The sequence below is a fragment of the Homo sapiens genome, chromosome 7 (assembly GCF_000001405.40).
Source record: "Homo sapiens chromosome 7, GRCh38.p14 Primary Assembly".
Lineage (NCBI taxonomy): Eukaryota > Metazoa > Chordata > Mammalia > Primates > Hominidae > Homo > Homo sapiens.
Window position 1 is genome coordinate 7,372,343 of NC_000007.14, and position 20,407 is coordinate 7,392,749.

Below are 20,407 nucleotides of genomic sequence, written 5' to 3' on the forward strand. Positions count from 1 at the left end.
GAGCTGAGATCACACCACAGCACTCCAGCATGGTGACAGAGTGAGACTCCGTCTCAAAATAAATAAATAAATAAATAAATAAATAAATAAATAAATAAATGGTTGTTCTTTTGAGATAAATTCCCGATATCAACCTGTTTATTCATCATTATCTGCTTTCATAAAAACAGAGAATAGAACATCCCCTCTAATTAATCCCAGTTACTTGCATTTCTCATCTCTTTAGATGACCATAACTTTTTTTTCATTCAGCAGGTACTTCTTAATTCATTTTGATTTCCTGACTGTTTTCTGCCTTGCTGTTGGCTTGCTCGATCCCTTATTTTAGTTAGGTAACTTTCTGAACATTAACCAATGTTAGCAATACTCCCAAGTCCTATTCTTTCTCTCCATTCCTGTCTGTTGACCATGGACTCTAGTTAACTCCAAGGCCAACTCAGCATTTATTAACCCTTAATAAAGACAAGGGATTGTACCCTCCAAACTGAATGATATTAAACATTTTTAATCTTCTGGAGTTTACGTGTTACCATTTAATGTTGGCATAAGCCTTATTAGCCTCCAGATTTTTCTATTTGGTCAGGACAAACCAGTGATATGGTACTTAGAGGAACAACATAAATGCCTTTCCCCTGGGCCAGATAGCCTTCCTTACCTTGCAGGGTAAAGAAATCATCAAACTGGTAAACATGCTCTGGGTCAGTAGCAATTAGATTCATTTCTTTGTGGAATATTTCAAAGTTGGGATCATTTTTCTTCACCACCCCTATCACAAATATCTCCACATTGGTGTCACTGGCATTCTTCACCACCTCTGTCAGTTTCTCTTTATCACGAGAATCTGTCTGTCCATCAGTGATGACCAAGGCCACTTTTTTTACACCTGGCCTTGCATCTTCAAACATGTCGTTGGCTGCTTGCAGAGCAGTGGCTGTGTATGTGCCTTCCCCCAGATACTGCATGTTGTCCACAGCCAACTTGAAGTCATCCTTGCTGGAGAACTGCTTCAAATTAGCCACCTTCTCCACCTTATGGCTATAGTTGATTATGCCTATGCGGGCCGTGGCAAGGTCCAGAGCAACCCGGTCAGCCATAGTCTTCACAAAATTTTTAATGATCTGAAAGTTCTCTGGCCCCACGCTTTCTGAGCTGTCGATCACAAACACCAGCTCTAGTGGAGTCTCTTTGCATTTGGGCCCACAACCTAAAAGATGAATGTTGAGAGAGAAAAATTGTGGGAATGATTGACATCAGATTGTTGAGGGGAGGGGAGAAAAAGTCAATGATGAACCTGAGACCTAAACTATTCTCTTCCTTTTCTGTGATTGTGAAAATACCTGACAGCTGTCTCCATTCTGGTTTCTTTTTTTTTTTGTGAGACAGAGTCTCGCTGTCGCCCAGGTTGGAGTGCAGTGGCGCGATCTCGGCTCACTGCAGGCTCCGTCCCCTGGGATTCACGCCATTCTCCAGCCTCAGCCTCCCGAGTAGCTGGGACTACAGGCGCCCGCCACCTCGCCTGGCTAATTTTTTGTATTTTTAGTAGAGACAGGGTTTCACCGTGTTAGCCAAGATGGTCTCGATCTCCTGACCTCGTGATATGCCCGCCTCGGCCTCCCAAAGTGCTGGGATTACAGGCGTGAGCCACCGCGCCCGGCCCCTTCTGGTTTCTATACTTGACTCTTAAAAAAAAAAAAAAATATATATATATATATATATATACTTGGAAAAACACCGTAGTTGATAAAATAATAAATACTTATGTGCTCGTTTCTTGGATTATAAAATAAAATATTTTTAAAAGAGTTAGGATGCCCTGTGGATGCCGTCCCAATAACATTCCTCTTCCTCTCCCAGAGAGGTAACCACCATCTGACATTTGCTCTTTATCATCCCACCATTGTATTTAATCTGAATCTGAAAGCTGATATTTCAGTCTTCAACCATAGCCTTATGTGAAAATTGAAATTTGCTCACCAGGCTGGCCAATGGATGAAGTAATGGGATGAAAAATTGTCATTGTGGTAGAAGGATTGGGACCTTAAATGTACACAGGAACAGCTATCCCTAACTACTCTAGTTGATGTCTCCAGTCACCCACAATGACAACTATGGCAGCTTTCACGTTATCAAGGAGGCCAGCAGTACATCCATGCTATGAAAGCTTTTGAGGGGAGTAATCCCCGAGAACACTAGTCAATTTAAAAAAACCTTCCATTTAGGTTGATAAACAACCACTTAAAGCAGTTGCCAGAGTCATCAGGAAATATAAATTATCAGGATTCTGTTTCTTTATTCATATCTTCCTGTTGTTCAACAAGCCTGCCACAGAAAACCATCAGGAAATCATGTGCTATTTTTATAGGGCTTCTAGAACCCAGAAGCCATGTCTAGATTGGTCTCTCACTAGAGAGACTCCCAGGCTGCTTCTTAGGCCCAGCAGTCTTTTAGGGAATAAGCTGGTTCTGGGATTCTCTGTATAGAAGGACAATATGCCTGCCTCTGACCACTTTAAACCCAGAAGATTCTCCCATCATTATTCCATTAGTCTCTTGTCTTTTGGCTAATTTCTTTACTTCCTCTTTCTGGTAATTCTAAGTCTACCATTCAGTCATGGAAGCATTTAGTAGTTGTGAAGCAAGGTGAATACCTGACTCTGTCCTCCCACCTTTGGGACTGAGTACAACTCAAAACTCTACTCAGAAAGAATTCATGGCTTCGGGAAAAACACAGACATTCTAATCACCAGCTAGGCTGGACTCAAATACCAGTTTGGCTCTTGTAGTCATATTTCCTTTGTTGAGTTTTTCGTCTCAGCTCAGGTAAATGTCACTGAATACAAACGAGCACTGTGCTAACAAAAGGCCCGGCTGCCTACATACCCTAGGCTGGCACCTTCACATGCCTTAACCAGCCTGGGAAGATGATTTTATTTCCTTACATCAGGATTCCCACAGTCTCTCTTACTGCTTCCTTTCAGTTTCCATCGACTTTTCAAATGAGCTTCACATTTTCCCGCTAGCTATATAATATACATCTGGACGAACACATTCTGTCACCAGCACAGTACATAGTGGGGCTGATGCTTTAAAGTGATGTTTTTTCCTTGATCAAATCTTACCACATATTTCTGTAATAAGTTTGATAATTTCTTCTTTCTAGGGGATAAAAAGAAAAATGTATTACTATATGTATGACTATAATATTTTTCCTAGAGCCATAAAAGATATCTCATTACAATCAGCACTGGACCATTTGATTTAATCCTTCCACTGCAGAAAATAAAATAAACAACACAGAAGTCAAAAGCTGACTATAATAGACCATAACTAAAATGCGTTTGAGCTGTGAAACTTAACAGCTGAGACTTTTGGAATTCAAATTGCAACTGCAGCATTTATCAGCTGTGTGACCTCGGGCATTTGGTGCCCTAACAGTATCTGTGTCTCAGGGCTATGGTATGGATTAATCAATGTTATGCACACATTAGCACAGGGTCTGGCAACTTTAACATACCTACGGTGCTGTGGTGCTATATATACATTCAGTTATACAATTTAAACCACATGTGCTGAGCAACCAAGACAAGCCGCAATGCCTACAGAGAATTCATTCTATGCTGTATTTTCTCTTCTTTTTCTGTACTAGTTCCTGATTTTTCAAGTCCTCTCTTCAGCTTCTTAACACCCTCACTTTGGCTCTTCTGTGACATTTCCCCATGTTCCTGAACGCCCTTTTCTTGTCCTGCTGCCCACAAGCTCCATCAGAAGGGCCTGAAATGAGCTGGGTACTAGAAATAAAGCTGCCAATGCCCTTCCCTGTGCAGTGTGTTTATAAGTAACTACAATGAGACTAGAGAAGGCAGGATTCCACATTTGCCAAACACTTAAAGCTAAAAGAGATGATTAACAGAAGCCTAGATCTCAACAGGAAGGACCAGTGGACCCAATCTAAGAAAATAAAGTTTAACAGGTGCAAAAGTAAAATTTTTAAGAACAAATCTATAATGTCAAATCGAGGTGGAGGTGATGTAGCCTGTAACATGGCTTAAAAGTAGAATATGTGGGGAATATTCATAGTATTTTAATTTAACTTTTTAAACTGTAAACTAAGTAAAAGCTAACGATTCCAAGTGGCTATTTAAAAAGAACATCTACTGCAGTGCTGAGTTATATAATACAATTCTACAAAATGAGAGTCAACAGTCTTCTTTTTTTCTAGGCCTTGTCATGCTTTTCCGCATTTAAAAAGGCATTTAAAAAAATCCGAAACAAGAACATGTACAGAAAGGTAAAATGTATGTATTTATATATTTATATTAAGTATATCTAGAAAGGGGAAATATATGTATTTATATATTTATGTTTAATTTTTTATAAACGGAGAAAATACACCAAGTTTTATGGTTATAATTTGTCACCTAATACTATATTATAATTCATTTTCCACATTATTAAGGATTCTGAAAAACTTGATTACTGAAATTGAATGTGCGGCCATTTAAAGGCTCTGCGATACACACTCTCACACTGTACTTTAGAAAAGTTGTGCTAACTGACACCTCCAACAGCAGTATATAAGAAAATCTGTTTTATTTTAGCCACACAATACTGGCTATTATTATTATATCATCACTGTCAATTGGTAGAGCAAAATCTCTCATTGTTTTAAATTACACGAATTAAATTATTCATGAGGCTACATTTCATTTCATATGCATGTTTCCAGGTTGTATTCTCTTGTGCAATCTGTGTATGTTCTTTGTCTTATCTTTTTCTATGGGAATATTTGCTTTTTATTCACTTATAAGAGCAATGCATGTATCAAGGTTAGATTTTAATTTTGCAACATATTTTGTGGCATAATCAGGTTTAAAATGCTTGAAGTTACCATATATGTAAATTTTTTCTTCATGTTCTTTGCATTTAAGTGACTGGAAGAGTTCATTCCTTCCACTGAAATCACTGAATAACTACCTTGGCTACTTGGTGCCAATGATGAAGGCATCATATTTATACCCCTCAAAGGATTCACAGTCCAGGAAGAAGCAGACAAACGAAGACTTTCATAAGTGCTATGGAGAGCCAAGGAACCATCTCGATCTGCTGGGAATTCCTGGGGCAGGAAACTGAGGATGGGACTGTGGTCCAAGGAGGCAGACTCTGACCAGGCTGGGACAGGGAAGGGGAGCGTTCAGGCAAGGTGGTCGGCCTTCTGTCAGAGCATACTGCATTACAGTACTCGAGTAAACTTATGAATTAGGGCACATAGCAGAAACAATGACAAGAAATGTTGGAGACAGATGGACTCTTGAAGACCTTTGTGTCATGTTGAAGAGTGTGAACTTTCTCCTGGGCAGTGGGACTCACATGATCCCTAGGCAGAGAAGAGCTCTGGTGGAACTTTTATTTAAGAGAGATGATCATAGCAGCCAGTGGAGGGGTTTGAGGTTCCTCAATAATTCACGCAAAAAAAAAAAAAAAACCAGACATCAGAAGGCTGTGGTAGTAGTAATGGATGAGGAGGACAGGCCTGGAGGGACATTCCAGAAGAAGAATGAGGGGCTTGGTGAATAACTGGAAGAAACGATGAGGGAAAGAAGGAGTCTAAGAGGAGGCAAATGACAGTGGGGCCATACTCTGAGAGAGGCAGGAGTGGGATAGGGGCAGGTTGGGAGCTCATGAAGATGACTGAGCCCAGCTTGAGTCTGGCTGAGTCTCATACGTCTATAAGACATCCACCTAGAGATGTCCACGGGCAGCCAAGGATGTAAGATCTGGCGCTTGGGAGAATTGTCCGGGCAGGAGGCAGATTTAAGAAATGCCAATGTACAGTTGGCTGTTAAAACAGGGACTAAAAGTAAGATTGCCTAGAACAGGGCTGCTCAGCCTTTTTGAAACCGGTGTGTTTCTCCTTCCCCACATTTGATAAACACATTCTTTCTGCTTAAAATAAAAACACTATTTTTTCATTCACTATATGCTTTCACTGTACTATAGAATTAGCCTTTTCAAACTATATGTCCCCCTGCCTTTAGTGGCTACATTCCCTGAGAGTTTGAAGACAGGGAAGACTGGGGCCAGACACCGGGAAATGCTAACACCGAAGTGACATGTGGAGAAACAGAGTCTTTTCAAATAATTTTATGAGATGTATTAAAACATTTAGTGCCATCAATGGCATTTGCCTCTTAAAAGAGGAGTTTGTTAGTCTGAAATGAATCTGCACAATTGATAGCTATTGGGGGATACATTCGATCACAGAAAGGATAAGAGGGGGAGAGGAAAGAGGCCTTCTGAGAACAGCTTTCATGGGGGAGCAGCCTGAACTTGGTATCAGACAGGCCACCTCTAGCTATAAGGGCTCTGCTACGTGCCAGCTAGATGACTTTGGGCGTAATGTCCAACCTGACTTGTGTGTCTCCATTTGATGTGGAGATACTGTCTACCTCATGGAGCTGTCATGCAGATTAAAGGTGGGATCTTAGGTAAGAGAAGGTTATGGCCATCAGCCTGTCACCGTCTTCTTGTACCACAACCCACTAGTCCTACACTGCATGGGGGTTTGGCCAGCATTCATGCTGTGAACCAGTCCTCATTTCCAAGCTCTGTCCAAATCCCCTGAAACCACCTGCTGTTTGGCCACTTCTTGGCTGGGCCCATGCATCCAGGCCAGTGCTTCAGCTCTCCAAACCTGTGGCCATTTCAACTGAGAATTCTGGAATTGCATGCATCCAGAGTGTGGCATAGAGGAACATATGTGCATGCCCTTTGGCCCCAAGGACTTCTAACCTGGAGGAAGGAGCGCAGCTGGAGAAGGACGAGGGTTCCAGAGCGGGGGCCTCTAAAACACCCTGCAGTACTAGGTAAGGAGCCTAACATGTACTGATGTACAGGAGCCTAACACAGAGCCTGTCACACACTAAATTCTCACTTAATGCAAATTCTCTTTTCCTTCACTCTTCTCGTCTTGCTAGTCTCTTCTTCCAGAATCTAGAAAACCAAAGTCAGCAGAATGATGTCCCTACTTCTAAGGTCTCTGCCTCTTGGTTGAAAAGCTTCCACTCAAGAGATAAAGCCTATCCTGCCCTCAAACACCATCATACACCATTTTGTCTGCTCTGGACCCCGAGACCACATCTTCTATCATAGCATTTATCACTCCGTAGGTGAACATCTTTGTTGTCTTTCTCTCCACCAGGCTGTGAGCTCTCTCAGTTCCAAGAAGTAGCCTCACTCTCCACTATTTCCCCAGTGCCTATTTTGGAGCCTGATCCAGAGTAAGGTTTACTGGATACATCCAATAAAGGTTGGTGAAATGAATGAATGAATAAATGAATGGAGAAAGGAAACCAGTCCCTCTCCCCACGTTGGGACAGTAGGGCAGGTATAAACCTACAGGGAACGTTCCTCTGCTCATTTACATACACTCTCCCCTGCTACTTTTGGGGAGAAATTGTGCATATGTAGCTACTTCATCTACTATGGGCATCTTTCGGGGTCTGACTTGTGGTGGGGAACAACAAAGAGAAAAAGGCAGACAGCCCGCAGAACACATGTGCAGTTCTGTTGGTCACATGCCCAGCTCTCAGCTCTTGCCTTCACCACCTGAACTGCCACTCCCTCACACTTGGATGTTCCTAGTACATCGAATCAGCCCCGCTAGACCACAACCCTGGAAAAGTCTAACAGGAAAAAAGGAAAAGGTCTGTGATTTTCCTCAACCCCAGAAGACAGATTGCCTTCAAAGCAGAAAGGAAGAATGAGACTTTGCCTTCCACTCATGAGACTTTAAAGAGTCAGTTTTCTGTTCTTAATGGTGTGGGGAGAAGAACAGGGAAACGTTTATAGATGCTCAGAAAATACTTATTGAATAATTGAATCAATATATAACTATAATCTCAATTTTGTGATTGCTGCTCTTCTCAGAGCACTTCTAAAGGAACTAGTTCAGGAAAAAAGAGTCCTCATTCTAAAATGAGACGAACCACATAAATTAAAGTCATTTGGTAATCTGGCTTTTTTGAAACAGCTCACCTCCTTGTTGGCCAGTAACAGCAGTGTGATCATTTCTACCAAGCATCCGAGTGGAGTAGTCACACACACCCACCACAAGGCAGGACAAGGTTTTATCTCTCCCCTCATAGTCAGATTCAATTACCTCATGCATCTAAGCCAACACTGGGCTGGTAGTAGTTGATCTCATTTAAATAGAAACTGGGATTCTGCATCCAAAAAATTCATAATTCTAAAGCTAAAGCATGAATGCAACAATTTTGCAAGCACAAAACCCTCAATTACCCTCTAGAATGGATACTCACTGTAAGTCCTAGGTCTCCTTTGGGTCCTTGTAAACCCTACTTAGTGGAAGAAGAGTAAAAGTCAATATAGGTTGGAACCAGTTAGAGTATAAAATCACAGTGAGACATTAAAAACTACTTGCCTGTTTTCCTGGAGATCCAGGCTCTCCAATTTCTCCTTTATCACCTTTCTTTCCCACATCGCCCCGTTCTCCGTGCTCTCCCTTTACACAATAGGGTAAAATGATAGGTTCAGAATGTGAATCTAAAAGCCAGATAAGAAAAGCTCTATAATTTGGTTATCTGCAACTGGCATCTCTTGAAGACCTTCAGTTCTTGTTTATACAAATGCAGTATTTGAAAAAAAATTGGGGGTAACTTATTTACATCCCATCAGATACCATAATCTAATTCATGATGAACCAGAGGTCTCAGAGTGAAGAGACCTTGAGATATAATACCATCTAATCGGCTCACCTTTCAGGACATACAATTATTACACAATTTACCGGGTACCTGAGTTATCTGGTATCTCCTACATGGTATGTTGTAAGTATGTTGTAAGATAACTAATAAATCCTTTATTAGTTATCTTCTGAGAATAAAGAAAATGAGATTTTTTTAAACATAGAGATGGGATCTCACTATATTGCTCAAGCTGGTCTTGAACTCCTGGCCTCAAGCAATCCCCCTACCTGAAGCTCTCAAAGAAAAGGACATTTTATAAAGTGAACCTATTTATAGGTAGACAAAGCAATGCACGAGGATTTTATTTTGAGTGGATTGTTTTTCTTCTGAGAGTTGTAAGGGGAAGAGTGACACATATATGAGAGTTCTTCCAAAGTTAAAGTTAAGCTATTGCGATCCTAAGCCTAAGCATTTCTCTAAGATCCTGAGACACTTACCTTCTGGCCTGGGAGGCCATGGCCCATTGTGCCCTTTGGGCCTGGGAAGCCTTGTGGTCCTTGTTCCCCCTACATAGGATATGAGAAAGAGATGTTCTATTAATTTCCCAGGATAGCTTGGCTATTCTTTGGGTCAGAAACACACTTACGGTTTAAAACTGCATTATAGTATTATCTAAATATTAGGGGAAATATATATATATATGTATATAAATACATATGTGTATGTGTGTATGTGTATGGCTCAATGGTTTGCTAGTAAGTGTTTAACAACTAAGACTAGGATAGGAGTGAGGGCTCTGATTTATGCCATTTGCCTATTTCTGTGGTGTAAATACTTTCACTGTGGCTAATTCAAGCTATGAACACATCAACCAGTTCACACATAACAGATAGCTGCTATTTCAGCTATGGTAGTAAAGGTGGGTTCCATCTTCTTTACATTTTTCCATGTTTTCTGGTATGTTAAAAAACACATGTTATTGGCTGGGCACGGTGGCTCATGCCTGTAATCCCAGCACTTTGGGAGGCTGAGGCAGGTGGATCACCTGAGGTCATGAGTTTGAGACCAGCCTGGCCAACATGGCGAAATCCTGTCTCTACTGAAAACACAAAAATTAGCTGGGCATGGTGGTGCGCACCTGTAGTCCCAGCTATGCAGGCGGGTGAGGCAGAAGAATTGCTTGAACCCAGGAGGCAGAGGTTGCAATAAGCTGAGATTGCACCACTGCACTCCAGCCTGGGCAACAAGAATGAAACTCTATCTCAAAAAAAAAAACAGAAAAAAAATGTCATTTTAGTAACGGGGAAAAGAGTATATAACAGCATCCATCCACAATTAATGCCAAGTTATTGTTTATGTAATTCCCTTTATACTGTTAGTTCCATCTCTCATAATTTGTAGCAACATTCAGGACTTGTTTCCAGATTTCTCCATCACATTTTAACATTATTTCTTGCCCCACCCAAACCACACAGTTTCCAAGGGGTTTCATGGTGTTGAGCATGAAACAGAAACAATCACTAGCAAGTATACAAAGTCATAGTTCTAATGCTCCTTGGATCTTATACTCAATCCTTATTTGACTCTGGATAATTATTAGTAATGAGTCTCTGGCAAAGGCTTGAAGGACCACGGGCTCCTCGGGATTGATCTGTGGTTTTCAAAACTATCCTGATCATCCCCACCAAGATCATTGGCATGCTTGATAAAAATTGCATCTCCCAGGCCCAACCTCAAACCAACTAAATGAGAATCACAGGTGAAGGTAAAGGCAAAATATGCATTTTGCCATAAGTCTGCTAAAGCTTGAGAGCCACTACTCCAGGAGGCATGATGGGATTTACGAGGCACTCCTGGAAGGGGCCACAGAGGTTTGCTTGGAGACCATTACAACTTTGGGCACCTCAACATCCCTAAGCCTCCTTTACCTTGTTCATTGGCTGTCAAGCTGTTTCAAATCAAAAGGGCCTATTCTCTTTTAAATTGTTATAATGAAATATTTCAAAACAAAAATCATATAGAATAAAGTAAACACCTATCTACCACGTTAAAAAATAAAACAGATACAATTCAAACCTCTTAGGTACTCATCCCCAATCCTATTTCTCTGAGAGAAAAAATCTCTATCTGAAATTCATATTTATCATTCATATCCATGTTTTTATGCTTTAACTACATTTCAAAATAATACATCTTTTTTTTGTTGTGTGTGTGTGTGTGTGTGTGTGTGTGTGTGTGTGTGTTTTTTTTGAGACAGAGTCTCACTCTGTCAACCAGGTTGGAGTGCAGTGGTGTGATCTCAGTTCACTGCAGTCCCCACCTCTCAAGTTCAAGCGATTCTCCTGCCTCAGCCTCCTGAGTAGCTGGGATTACAGGTGTGTGCCACTATGCCTGGCTAATTTTTGTATTTTTAGTAGAGACAGGGTTTCACCATGTTGGCCAGTCTGGTCTCAAACTCCTGACCTTAGGTGATTCACCTGCCTCGGCCTCCTAAAGTGCTGGGATTACAGGCATGAGCCACCACACCTGGCTGATATTTTTAATATTTTAAATTTCCAATAAATGATATATTTATGCATCCAATTTTTTAAAAAAACCTCAATATTATCTATTTGAAATTTGTGTGTGTGTGTGTGTATATATATATATATATATATGTATATGAGATTCTAATTTGTTGATCGTCTCTCTGCTATAAAGTATTTCATTAAATAACTGAATACAACTTATCCATTAGCCTTCTGATGCACATTTAGGTTATTTCCAATATTTCTGTATTAAAAATAATATTTTAAGAATATCCTTTTATATGCCTTTGCACACTTGTATACATTCCTAGGAGGAAACTCTTACATCGAAACAAATATTATATAAAATGGTACAAAATAAAATGAACACAGCACAGATTCTCTGAAGCTGAACTAAAGGGCTCCATTTTTCACACACCCATCCCTAACCTCTCACGGCACATTGGCTTGACTGAACTCTAAGGTTCTTTTTATTCTCTTACATGTGTTTCTAAACTGTTTGTAGGTATGGTGTTATGGTATTGCCTCCCCAGTTCAACACCAGAGGACTTAAAATAAGTTCTTTACAGGGGTGAGATTACAGAGAACTTAATTCACTGAATGTCTTTTCACTTTGGTATCTCTTGAGCCAAACCCAGTGCAGTAACATACTGGGCCCACTGGAAATGGGTATGCAGTGTTGCACTACAATGTCTTGGGCCCACCTAAGGAGGCTCACCCAGAAGAGGAGTGCTTCCTCTGTTAGTTGCTTAGAGGGAACAAGTAGGGATGATTGGTCTTCTTTATTCAGTTTAAAGTCAGAATAGAATACAGTAGTCCCCCTTTATCTGTACTTTCATTTCCCATGGTTACACTTACCCACAGTCAACTGTGGTTGGAAAATAAGTGAGTATAGTACAGTAAGATATTTTGAGAGAGACCACATTCACATAACTTTGATGACAGTATATTGCTTATAGTTGTTCTATTTTATTATGTGTTTGTTAATCTCCTACTGTGCCTAATTTTAAATTAGGCCTTATTATAGGTATGTGTATATAGAAAAAACATAGCATATTTAGGGTTTGGTAGTATCCAAGGTTTCAAGCATCCACTGGGAATATCGGAACATATCTCCTGCAGATAAGGAGGGACTACTGTAATCTTTTCCCACCAGGAAACTTGATATCATTGGGAGCCCCAGAACCCTGGATAGGAATTTGTACCAGTTAAATAAACCCTAAACATTAAACTGACACTGGCATTCCAAGATGAAAATTCAATCAAAAAAAAGGAGAGGAGAAAAATTTGTCCTGTTTCCAAAGATGGCACTCCCAACATAGGTGTCATGAAGATGAATAGGTGGGAAAGTGTAGATAACACAGAACAGCCTCATGAGGCTCCCTGCAAAACATGCTCTAATAGGAGTGGATCTGCAGCCTGCTTCTGAACATGAAGGTTAGTGGGGTCTGCCTACATACAGACTAGCAGCCAGCCCCCAGAGTGATATGCAGGACTGCAGGCAGCTACCTGCCTGAGGTTATACCATCTTCTTCTGTTCAAATCAAAAGGAAAACAAACGCAAATAGTATAGGAACGATATCTCTTAAGAAAGATGTCTTGGTAAATCACACTTTGGTATAAATTTGTTTTCTCAGATTTTTTGTGGAGGTGAATGAGGACATTTTCATTCAATGAGGTACCTGGTAGAAGGTTTGGGTTGCAAGGGAGATGCGTCAGACCGCTGTACCTAAGTTAGGGGGTACAGTTGGCCAGGGATAAGACAGACTAAAGGCTCATGGGAGAACACTAAGAGGAAATCCATGGTTGGCTTTGTCTCAGCCTGAAAGGACAGAACAGTGTGATAAACAGAGGAGCTGAGACTGTGGTGTGATGGTGAATTATCGCTAGGAGTTATATGTTTAGACAAAGTGAATCCAGAAAGAATGCCATACCTTTCTGACAATTACTCAGAATAATTATTTCTTTTGCAATATTTCAGATTCCTCCAGAAGATGTCCAATACATGTTCATGACTAACTAGCTGCCTTTAAGAAATGACACAATTTCCTAATATAGCTAAAACCTACTGTTGTAAGGGGAAGCATGACACGTGCCTGAGGGAAAAAACATTAGAGTAGCAAATTATCTTGTTAGGGTAATGTTCAGGAACTTCTTTTGCATTACTTCACAATGTAAGTATTTTCTATATAACTGTTAACACTATAGATATTCCAGGCAGCTAGATTTCCCTATAATAAAGGCAATTCATTTTCTTTTTAATCACTAGTTTCCCTTCAAAATACTTAAAGGCTTCCTATAACTTTCAGAGTAGACTATCTAGCTAAAAGCCTTTAGCAAGTAAATCCATGTCTGATCTTGGCAGAGGTGAATGCTATCCAATCAGACTTTTCAATGTATAAGTCTCAGGAAAATGATAAACAATGATTTGAGTGTGGGTCAGAAACAACTGCAGGAAACAACCTATTTTATTGGAAGCTATAATTAAATCTAAATTTCAAACCCTGGTTAATCACTATATCACCACATTAGATGGGTCCTGATAAAGAAGTGATCATTTTCATTTTTCAGATGACTGCTTGTTCTCTGGGAGAGAAATTTCTAAGAATAATGCACATCTACCTGAATGTTTCCATTGATTTATTTGTGCATTACTGATACGTCAGGAAACAATGATTTTTCTTTCGAAATGTTTTCTCAGTAAGGTGTGGTAAGAAAAAAATCAAATTTATAGATGATCATAAAATGTAAAATGGACATCTGGCTTCTGCCAGTGTGTAGAAAAGTGGAAAAAAATGCTACTCTCATTCTTAAAGCCCCAACAACAAAAAATGAGAACTAATCTGTGAAGTCACAGCTTTTCTTGAATCCATCATAGAGCTGTGGTTGCAGGGCATCCCGCCAATTCAGCATCTAAGGAAAGTCAAGATCCTTCAAGGAGACACAGGCTTGGAAATTCACCTACCTGGTGGAGGTGCCACATGTTATACAAGCTGGTGAGAATTTAGCTAAAATTTTTAACAGGATGCTAAAGGCTGAGTGTGGGATAGCAGGAGGGGATAGGACCCCTGGGAGCTGCAGGCACAAGAGAAAATCACAGCTACTCACAGACTCTTCTCAGGGACTTTGCTGGTGCTCAAGAGAAAGACTGGGGCCAGGACTAGGGTCAGGAGTAGGCTTCCCTTGTGGTGCTAGCCTGGGAAGGGAAGCACAGGTCCCACAGGTCGCAGTCTGTTTGTGCTGCTATAACAAAATACCATAGACTGGGTGGCTTATAAACAACAGCAGATTATCTCTCACAGTTCTGGAGGCTAGAAAGCCCACGATCAAGGAATTGGCAAATTCAGTGTCTGGTGAGGGTCCATTTCCTGGTTCATAGGTGGCACCTTCTTGCCGTGTCCTCACATGGTGGAAGGGACAAGACAGCTCCCTGGGGCCTCCTTTATAAGGGTGCTAATCCCATTCCTGAGGACAGAGGTGACCTAATCACCACCCCAAGGCCCCACTTCCTAACGCCATCGACTTGGGGGTTAAAATTTCAACATATGAATGTGGGGACCATATGAATTTTCAGACCACATTCTGTTTCCTTTTGAAGGAAACAGAATAAACCTTGCAAGAATGAATCCTGGGCCCAGATCTTTAGAGATGCCCTACTATTTGTGGAGGGTCAGGAAACCACGCCCAGACCATTAGATGCCTCCTCGTACGGGTTTGCTGGAACACATAAAACTGCATACTAAAAAGAGTAAATTTTACTGCATATAAATAATCCTTTACTAAAGAATAAAACAATACTTTAAAAAGTTAAAAAGAATTAGATAAACACTTGGCAAAATTTAAATGAGTTCTATAGATTAAATAGTATTATATCAATAATTTTCTGATGTTTATTATTGTACTGTGTTATATAAGAGAATGTGCTTGTTTGTAGCAAAAATACTGATGTATTAGGAGTAAATGGGTACCAAATCTGAATTTTACTCTCAAGCGTTGCAGAAAAATAATATGACACAGACATATATATATATATGCAAAGTGATATAGCAAATGTGGTAATATTAACATTTATAGAATCTGGGTAAAGGATATATAAAAATTCTTTGTATTATCTTTGCAACTTTTTTTGCAAGTCTGAAATTATTTCAAAATAAAAGTTAAACATTAATACATAAAATGAATGCATGAATAAACGTACCAAGTGGTTGCAAAAAGATGTCAGCTATCACTGCTGCAGCGGCTAAAGCATATGAGTATACAGGTACTTTGCCTACTCAAAGTTTGGGAGCCCAAAGGCTAAAAGAAAATCAAAAGACCTAAAACAAAGCTGCAGGTGTGGATTTCTCCCTACGCAGAAACAGCTTCTGCTGTTTGAATTCAGGAGGCTTCTACTGTTACCAGAAGCCTCTATACTTCCCTAGGATTTGTATTCATACCAATTTCAGTTCAATTTTTTTAAATTATAATTTCTGGGGTACATGTGCAGAACATGGTTTGTTACATAGGTATGCATGTGTCACGGTGGTTAGCTGAACCCATCAACCCATCATCTACGTTAGACATTTCTCCTAATGCTATCCCTCCCCTAGCCCCCCACCCCATGACAGGCCTTGGTGTGTGATGTTCCCCTCCCTGTACCCATGTGTTCTCATTTTTCAACTCCCAGTTATGAGTGAGAACATGCAGTGTTCAGTTTCCTGTTCTTATGTTAGTTTGCTAAGAATGATGGTTTCCAGCTTCATCCATGTCTCTGCAAAGGACATGAACTCATCCTTTTTTATGGCTGCATAGTATTCCATGGTGTATATTGCCACTTTTCTTTATCCAGTCCATCATTAACGGGCATTTGGGTTGGTTCCATGCCTTTGCTATTGTGAACAGCGCCGCGATAAACATGTGGGTGCATGTGTCTTTATAGAATGATTTATAATCCCTTGGGTATATACCCAGTAATGGGATTGCTGGGTCAAATGGTATTTCTGGTTCTAGATCCTTGAGGAATCGCCACACTGTCTTCCACATGGTTGAACTAATTTACACTCCCACCAACACTGTAAAAGCATTCCTATTTCTCCACATCCTCTCCAGCATCTGTAGTTTTCTGACTTTTTAATGATCGCCATTCTAACTGGTGTGAGATGGTATCTCATTGTGGTTTTGATTGGCATTTCTCTAATGACAGTGATGATGAGCTTTTTTTCACGTTTGCTGACTACATATATGTCTTCTTTTGAGAAGTGTCTGTTCATATCCTTCACCCACTTTTTGATGGGGTTGTTTTTTTCTTGTAAATTTAAGTTCTTTGTAGATTCTGGATATTAGCCCTTTGTCAGATGGATAGATAGCAAAAATTTTCTCCCATTCTGTAGGTTGCCTGTTCACTCTGATGATAGTTTCTTTTGCTGTGCAGAAGCTCTTTAGTTTATTAGATCCCATTTGTCAATTTTGGCTTTGGTCGCCATTGCTTTTGGTATTTTAGTCATGAAGCCTTTGCCCATGCCTATGTCCTGAATGGTATTGCCTAGGTTTTCTTCTAGGGTTTTTTTTTAAGGTTTTAGGTCTTACTTAAGTCTTTAATCCATCTTGAGTTAATTTTTGTATAAAGTGTAAGGAAGGGGTCCAGTTTCATTTTCTGCATATGACTAGCCAGTTTTCCCAACACCATTTATTAAATAGGAAATCCTTTCCTCATTGCTTGTTTTTGTCAGGTTTGTCAAAGACCAGATGGTTGTAGATGTATAGTGTTATTTCTGAGGCTTCTGTTCTGTTCCACTGGTCAACATATCTGTTTTGGTACCAATACCATGCTGTTTGGGTTACTGTAGCCTCATTGTATAGTTTGAAGTCAGGTAGCGTAATCCCTCCAGCTTTGTCCTTTTTGCTTAAGATTGTCTTGGTTATGTGAGCTCTTTTTTGATTCCATAAGATATTTAAAGTAGATTTTTCTAAATCTGTGATGGAAGTCAATAGTAGCTTGATAGGGATTGCATTGAATCTATAAATTACTTTGGGCAGTATGACCATTTTCACAATATTGATTCTTCCTGTCCATGAGCATGGAGTGCTTTTCCATTTGTTTGTGTCTTCTCTTATTTCCTTGAGCAGTGGTTTGTAGTTCTCCTTGAAGAGGTCCTTTACATCCCTTGTAAGTTGTATTCCTAGGTATTTTATTCTCTTTGTAGCAATTGTGAATGGGAGTTCACTCATGATTTGGCTCTGTTTGTTTGTTATTGGTGTATAAGAATGCTTGTGATTTTTGCACATTGATTTCGTATCCTGAGACTTTGCTGAAGTTGCTTATCAGCTTAAGGAGATTTTGGGCTGAGACAATAGTGTTTTCTAAATATACAACCACGTCATCTGTAGGGACAATTTGATTTCCTCTCTTCCTATTTGAATACCCTTTATTTCTTTCTCTTGACTGATTGCCTTGGCCAGAACTTCCAATACTATGTTGAATAGGAATGGTGAGAGAGGGCATCCCTATCTTGTGCCAAATTTCAACGGGAATGCTTCCAGTTTTTGCCCATTCCACATGATACTGGCTTTGGGTTTGTCATAAATAGCTCTTATTATTTTGAGATATGATCCATCAATACCTAGTTTATTGAGAGTTTTTAGCATGAAGGGATGTTGAATTTTGTCAAAGGCCTTTTCTGCATCTATTGAGACAATCATGTGGTTTTTGTCATTGGTTCTGTTTAGGTGGTGGATTATGTTACTTGATTTGCGTATGTTGAACCAGCCTTGCATCCCAGGGATGAAGCCAACTTGATCGTGGTGGTTAAGCTTTTTGATGTGCTGCTGGATTCAGTTTGCCAGTATTTTATTGAGAATTTTTGCATTGATGTTCATCAGGAATATTGGCCTGAAATTTTCTCTTTTTGTTGGGTCTCTGCCAGGTTTTCATATCAGGATAATGCCGGCCTCATAAAATGAGTTAGGGAGGAGTCCCTCTTTTTCTATGGTTTGGAATAGTTTCAGAAGACATGGTACCAGCTCCTCTTTGTACCTCTGTTAGAATTCGGCTGTGAATCTGTCTGGTCTTGGGCTTTTTTTGCTTGGTAGGCTATTAATTACTGCCTCAATTTCAGAACTTGTTTTGGTCTGTTCGAGGATTCAACTTCTTCCTGGTTTGGGCTTGGAAGTGTGTATGTGTCCAGGAACTTATCCATTTCTTCTAGATTTTCTAGTTTATTTGCATAGAGGTATTTATAGTATTCTCTGATGGTAGTTGGTATTTCTGTGGGATCAGCAGTGATATCCCCTTTATCATTTTTTATTGCATCTATTTGATTCTTCTCTCTTTTATTGGTCCAGCTAGTGGTCTATTGTGTTGATCTTTTCAACCAGCTCCTGGATTCACTGATTTTTTGAAGAGTCTTTTTGTGTCTTTATCTCCTTCAGTTCTGCTCTGATCTTAGTTATTTCTTGTCTTCTTCTAGCTTTTGAATTTGTTTGGTCTTGTTTCTCTAGTTCTTTAGTTGCGATGTTAGGGTGTCGATTTTAAATCTTTCCCACTTTCTCTTGTGGGCATTTCGTGCTATAAATTTCCCTCTAAACACTGCTTTAGCTGTGGCTCAGAGATTCTGGTACCTTGTATCTTTGTTCTCCTTGGTTTCAAAGAACTTATTTATCTCTGCCTTAATTTCGTTATTTACCCAGTAGTCATTCAGCAGCAGGTTGTTCAGTTTCCATGTAGATGTGCGGTTTTGAGTGAGTTTCTTAATCCTGAGTTCTAATTTGATTTCACTGTGGTCTGAGAGATTGTTTGTTATGATTTCCATTCTTTTGCATTTGCTGAGGAGTGTTTTACTTCCAATTATGTGCTCAATTTTAGAATAAGGGTGATGTAGTGCTGAGAAGAATGCATATTCTGCTGATTTGGGGTGGAAGGTTCTGTAGATGTCTATTAGGTCCAGCTGGTCCAGAGCTGAGTTCATGTCCAAAATATCCTTGTTAATTTTCTGTCTCGTTAATCTGTGTAATATTGACAGTGCTGTGTAAAAGTCTCCCACTATTATTGTGTGGGAATCTAAGTCTCTTTGTAGGTCTCTAAGAAGTTGCTTTATAAATGTGGGTGCTCCTGTATTGGGTGCCTATATATTTAGGTTAGCTCTTCATGTTGCATTGATCCCTTTACCATTATGTAATGCCCTTCTTTGTCTTTTTTGATCTTTGTTGATTTAAAGTCTGTTTTATCAGAGACTAGGATTGCAACCCCTGCTTTTTTTTTTTTTTTTTTTGCTTTCCATTTGCTTGATAAATATCCCTCCACCTCTTTATTTTGAGCCTATGTGTGTCCTTGCACATGAGATGGGTCTCCTGAATACAACACACTGATGGGTCTTGACTTGTTATTTAATTTGCCAGTCTGTGTCTTTTAATTGGGGCATTTAGCCCGTTTACAGTTAATATTGTTATGTATGAATTTGATCCGGTCATTATGATGTTAGCTGGTTATTTTGCTCATTAGTTGATGCAATTTCTTCAGTGTCAATGGTCTTTAGAATTTGGTATGTTTCTGGCATTGGCTGGTGCTGGTTGTTCCTTTCCATGTTTAGTGCTCCCTTCAGGAGCTCTTGTAAGGCAGGCCCAGTGGTGACAAAATCTCTCAGCATTTGTTTGTCTGTAAAGGATTTTATTTCTCCTTCACTTGTGAAGCTTAGTTTGGCTGGATATGAAATTCTGGGTTGAAAATTCTTTTAAGAATGTTGAATATTGGCTCCCACTCTCTTCTGGCTTGTAGGGTTTCTGCAGAGAGATCTGCTGTTAGTCTGATGTGCTTCCCTTTGTGGGTAACCTGACCTTTCTCTCTGGCTGCCCTTAACATTTTTTCCTTCATTTCAACCTTGGTGAATCTGACTATTATGTGCCTTGGGGTTGCTCTTCTCGAGGAGTATCTTTGTGGTGGTCTCTGTAATTTCTGAATTTGAATGTTGTCCTGTCTTGCTAGGTTGGGGAAGTTCTCCTGGATAATATCCTAAAGAGTATTTTCCAACTTGGTTCCATTCTCAATGTCACTTTCAGGTACACCAATCAAACGTAGGTTTGGTCTTTTCACATAGTCCCATATTTCTTGGAGGCTTTGTTGGTTCCTTTTCATTCTTTTTTCTCTAATCTTGTCTTCATGCTTTATTTCATTAAGTTGATCTTCAATCTCTGATATCCTTTC

The 20,407-nt window shown here is 39.8% G+C and overlaps 1 protein-coding gene and 1 long non-coding RNA gene across 9 annotated transcripts in view; one reads left to right on the forward strand and one right to left on the reverse strand.

Moving 5' to 3' along the window:
• Nucleotides 1–5,070, forward strand: part of LOC107986764 (uncharacterized) — a 106,009-nt gene extending 100,939 nt beyond the window's left edge. Inside the window, exons 2-3 of the long non-coding RNA XR_002956539.2 lie at nt 4,219–4,294; nt 4,928–5,070. This is a non-coding gene — a long non-coding RNA (uncharacterized LOC107986764). The remainder of the gene's footprint in view (nt 1–4,218; nt 4,295–4,927) is intronic.
• Nucleotides 1–20,407, reverse strand: part of COL28A1 (collagen type XXVIII alpha 1 chain) — a 205,677-nt gene that overhangs the window by 34,149 nt on the left and 151,121 nt on the right. For 7 of the 8 annotated variants that reach the window (XR_926936.4, XM_011515360.3, XM_011515358.4 and 4 more), the window contains 5 exons: nt 9,202–9,270; nt 8,440–8,520; nt 8,318–8,353; nt 3,119–3,155; nt 656–1,204 (listed from right to left, as the gene is read on the reverse strand). Coding sequence is in view for 7 of the 8 variants with exons in the window: in XM_011515360.3 (XP_011513662.1) it covers nt 656–1,204; nt 3,119–3,155; nt 8,318–8,353; nt 8,440–8,520; nt 9,202–9,270 (772 nt within the window). In the remaining variant the exon portion in view is untranslated. Of the gene's footprint in view, nt 1–655; nt 1,205–3,118; nt 3,156–8,317; nt 8,354–8,439; nt 8,562–9,201; nt 9,271–20,407 lie in introns of those variants that run through there. The other variant, XM_047420313.1, reaches the window with a different exon arrangement.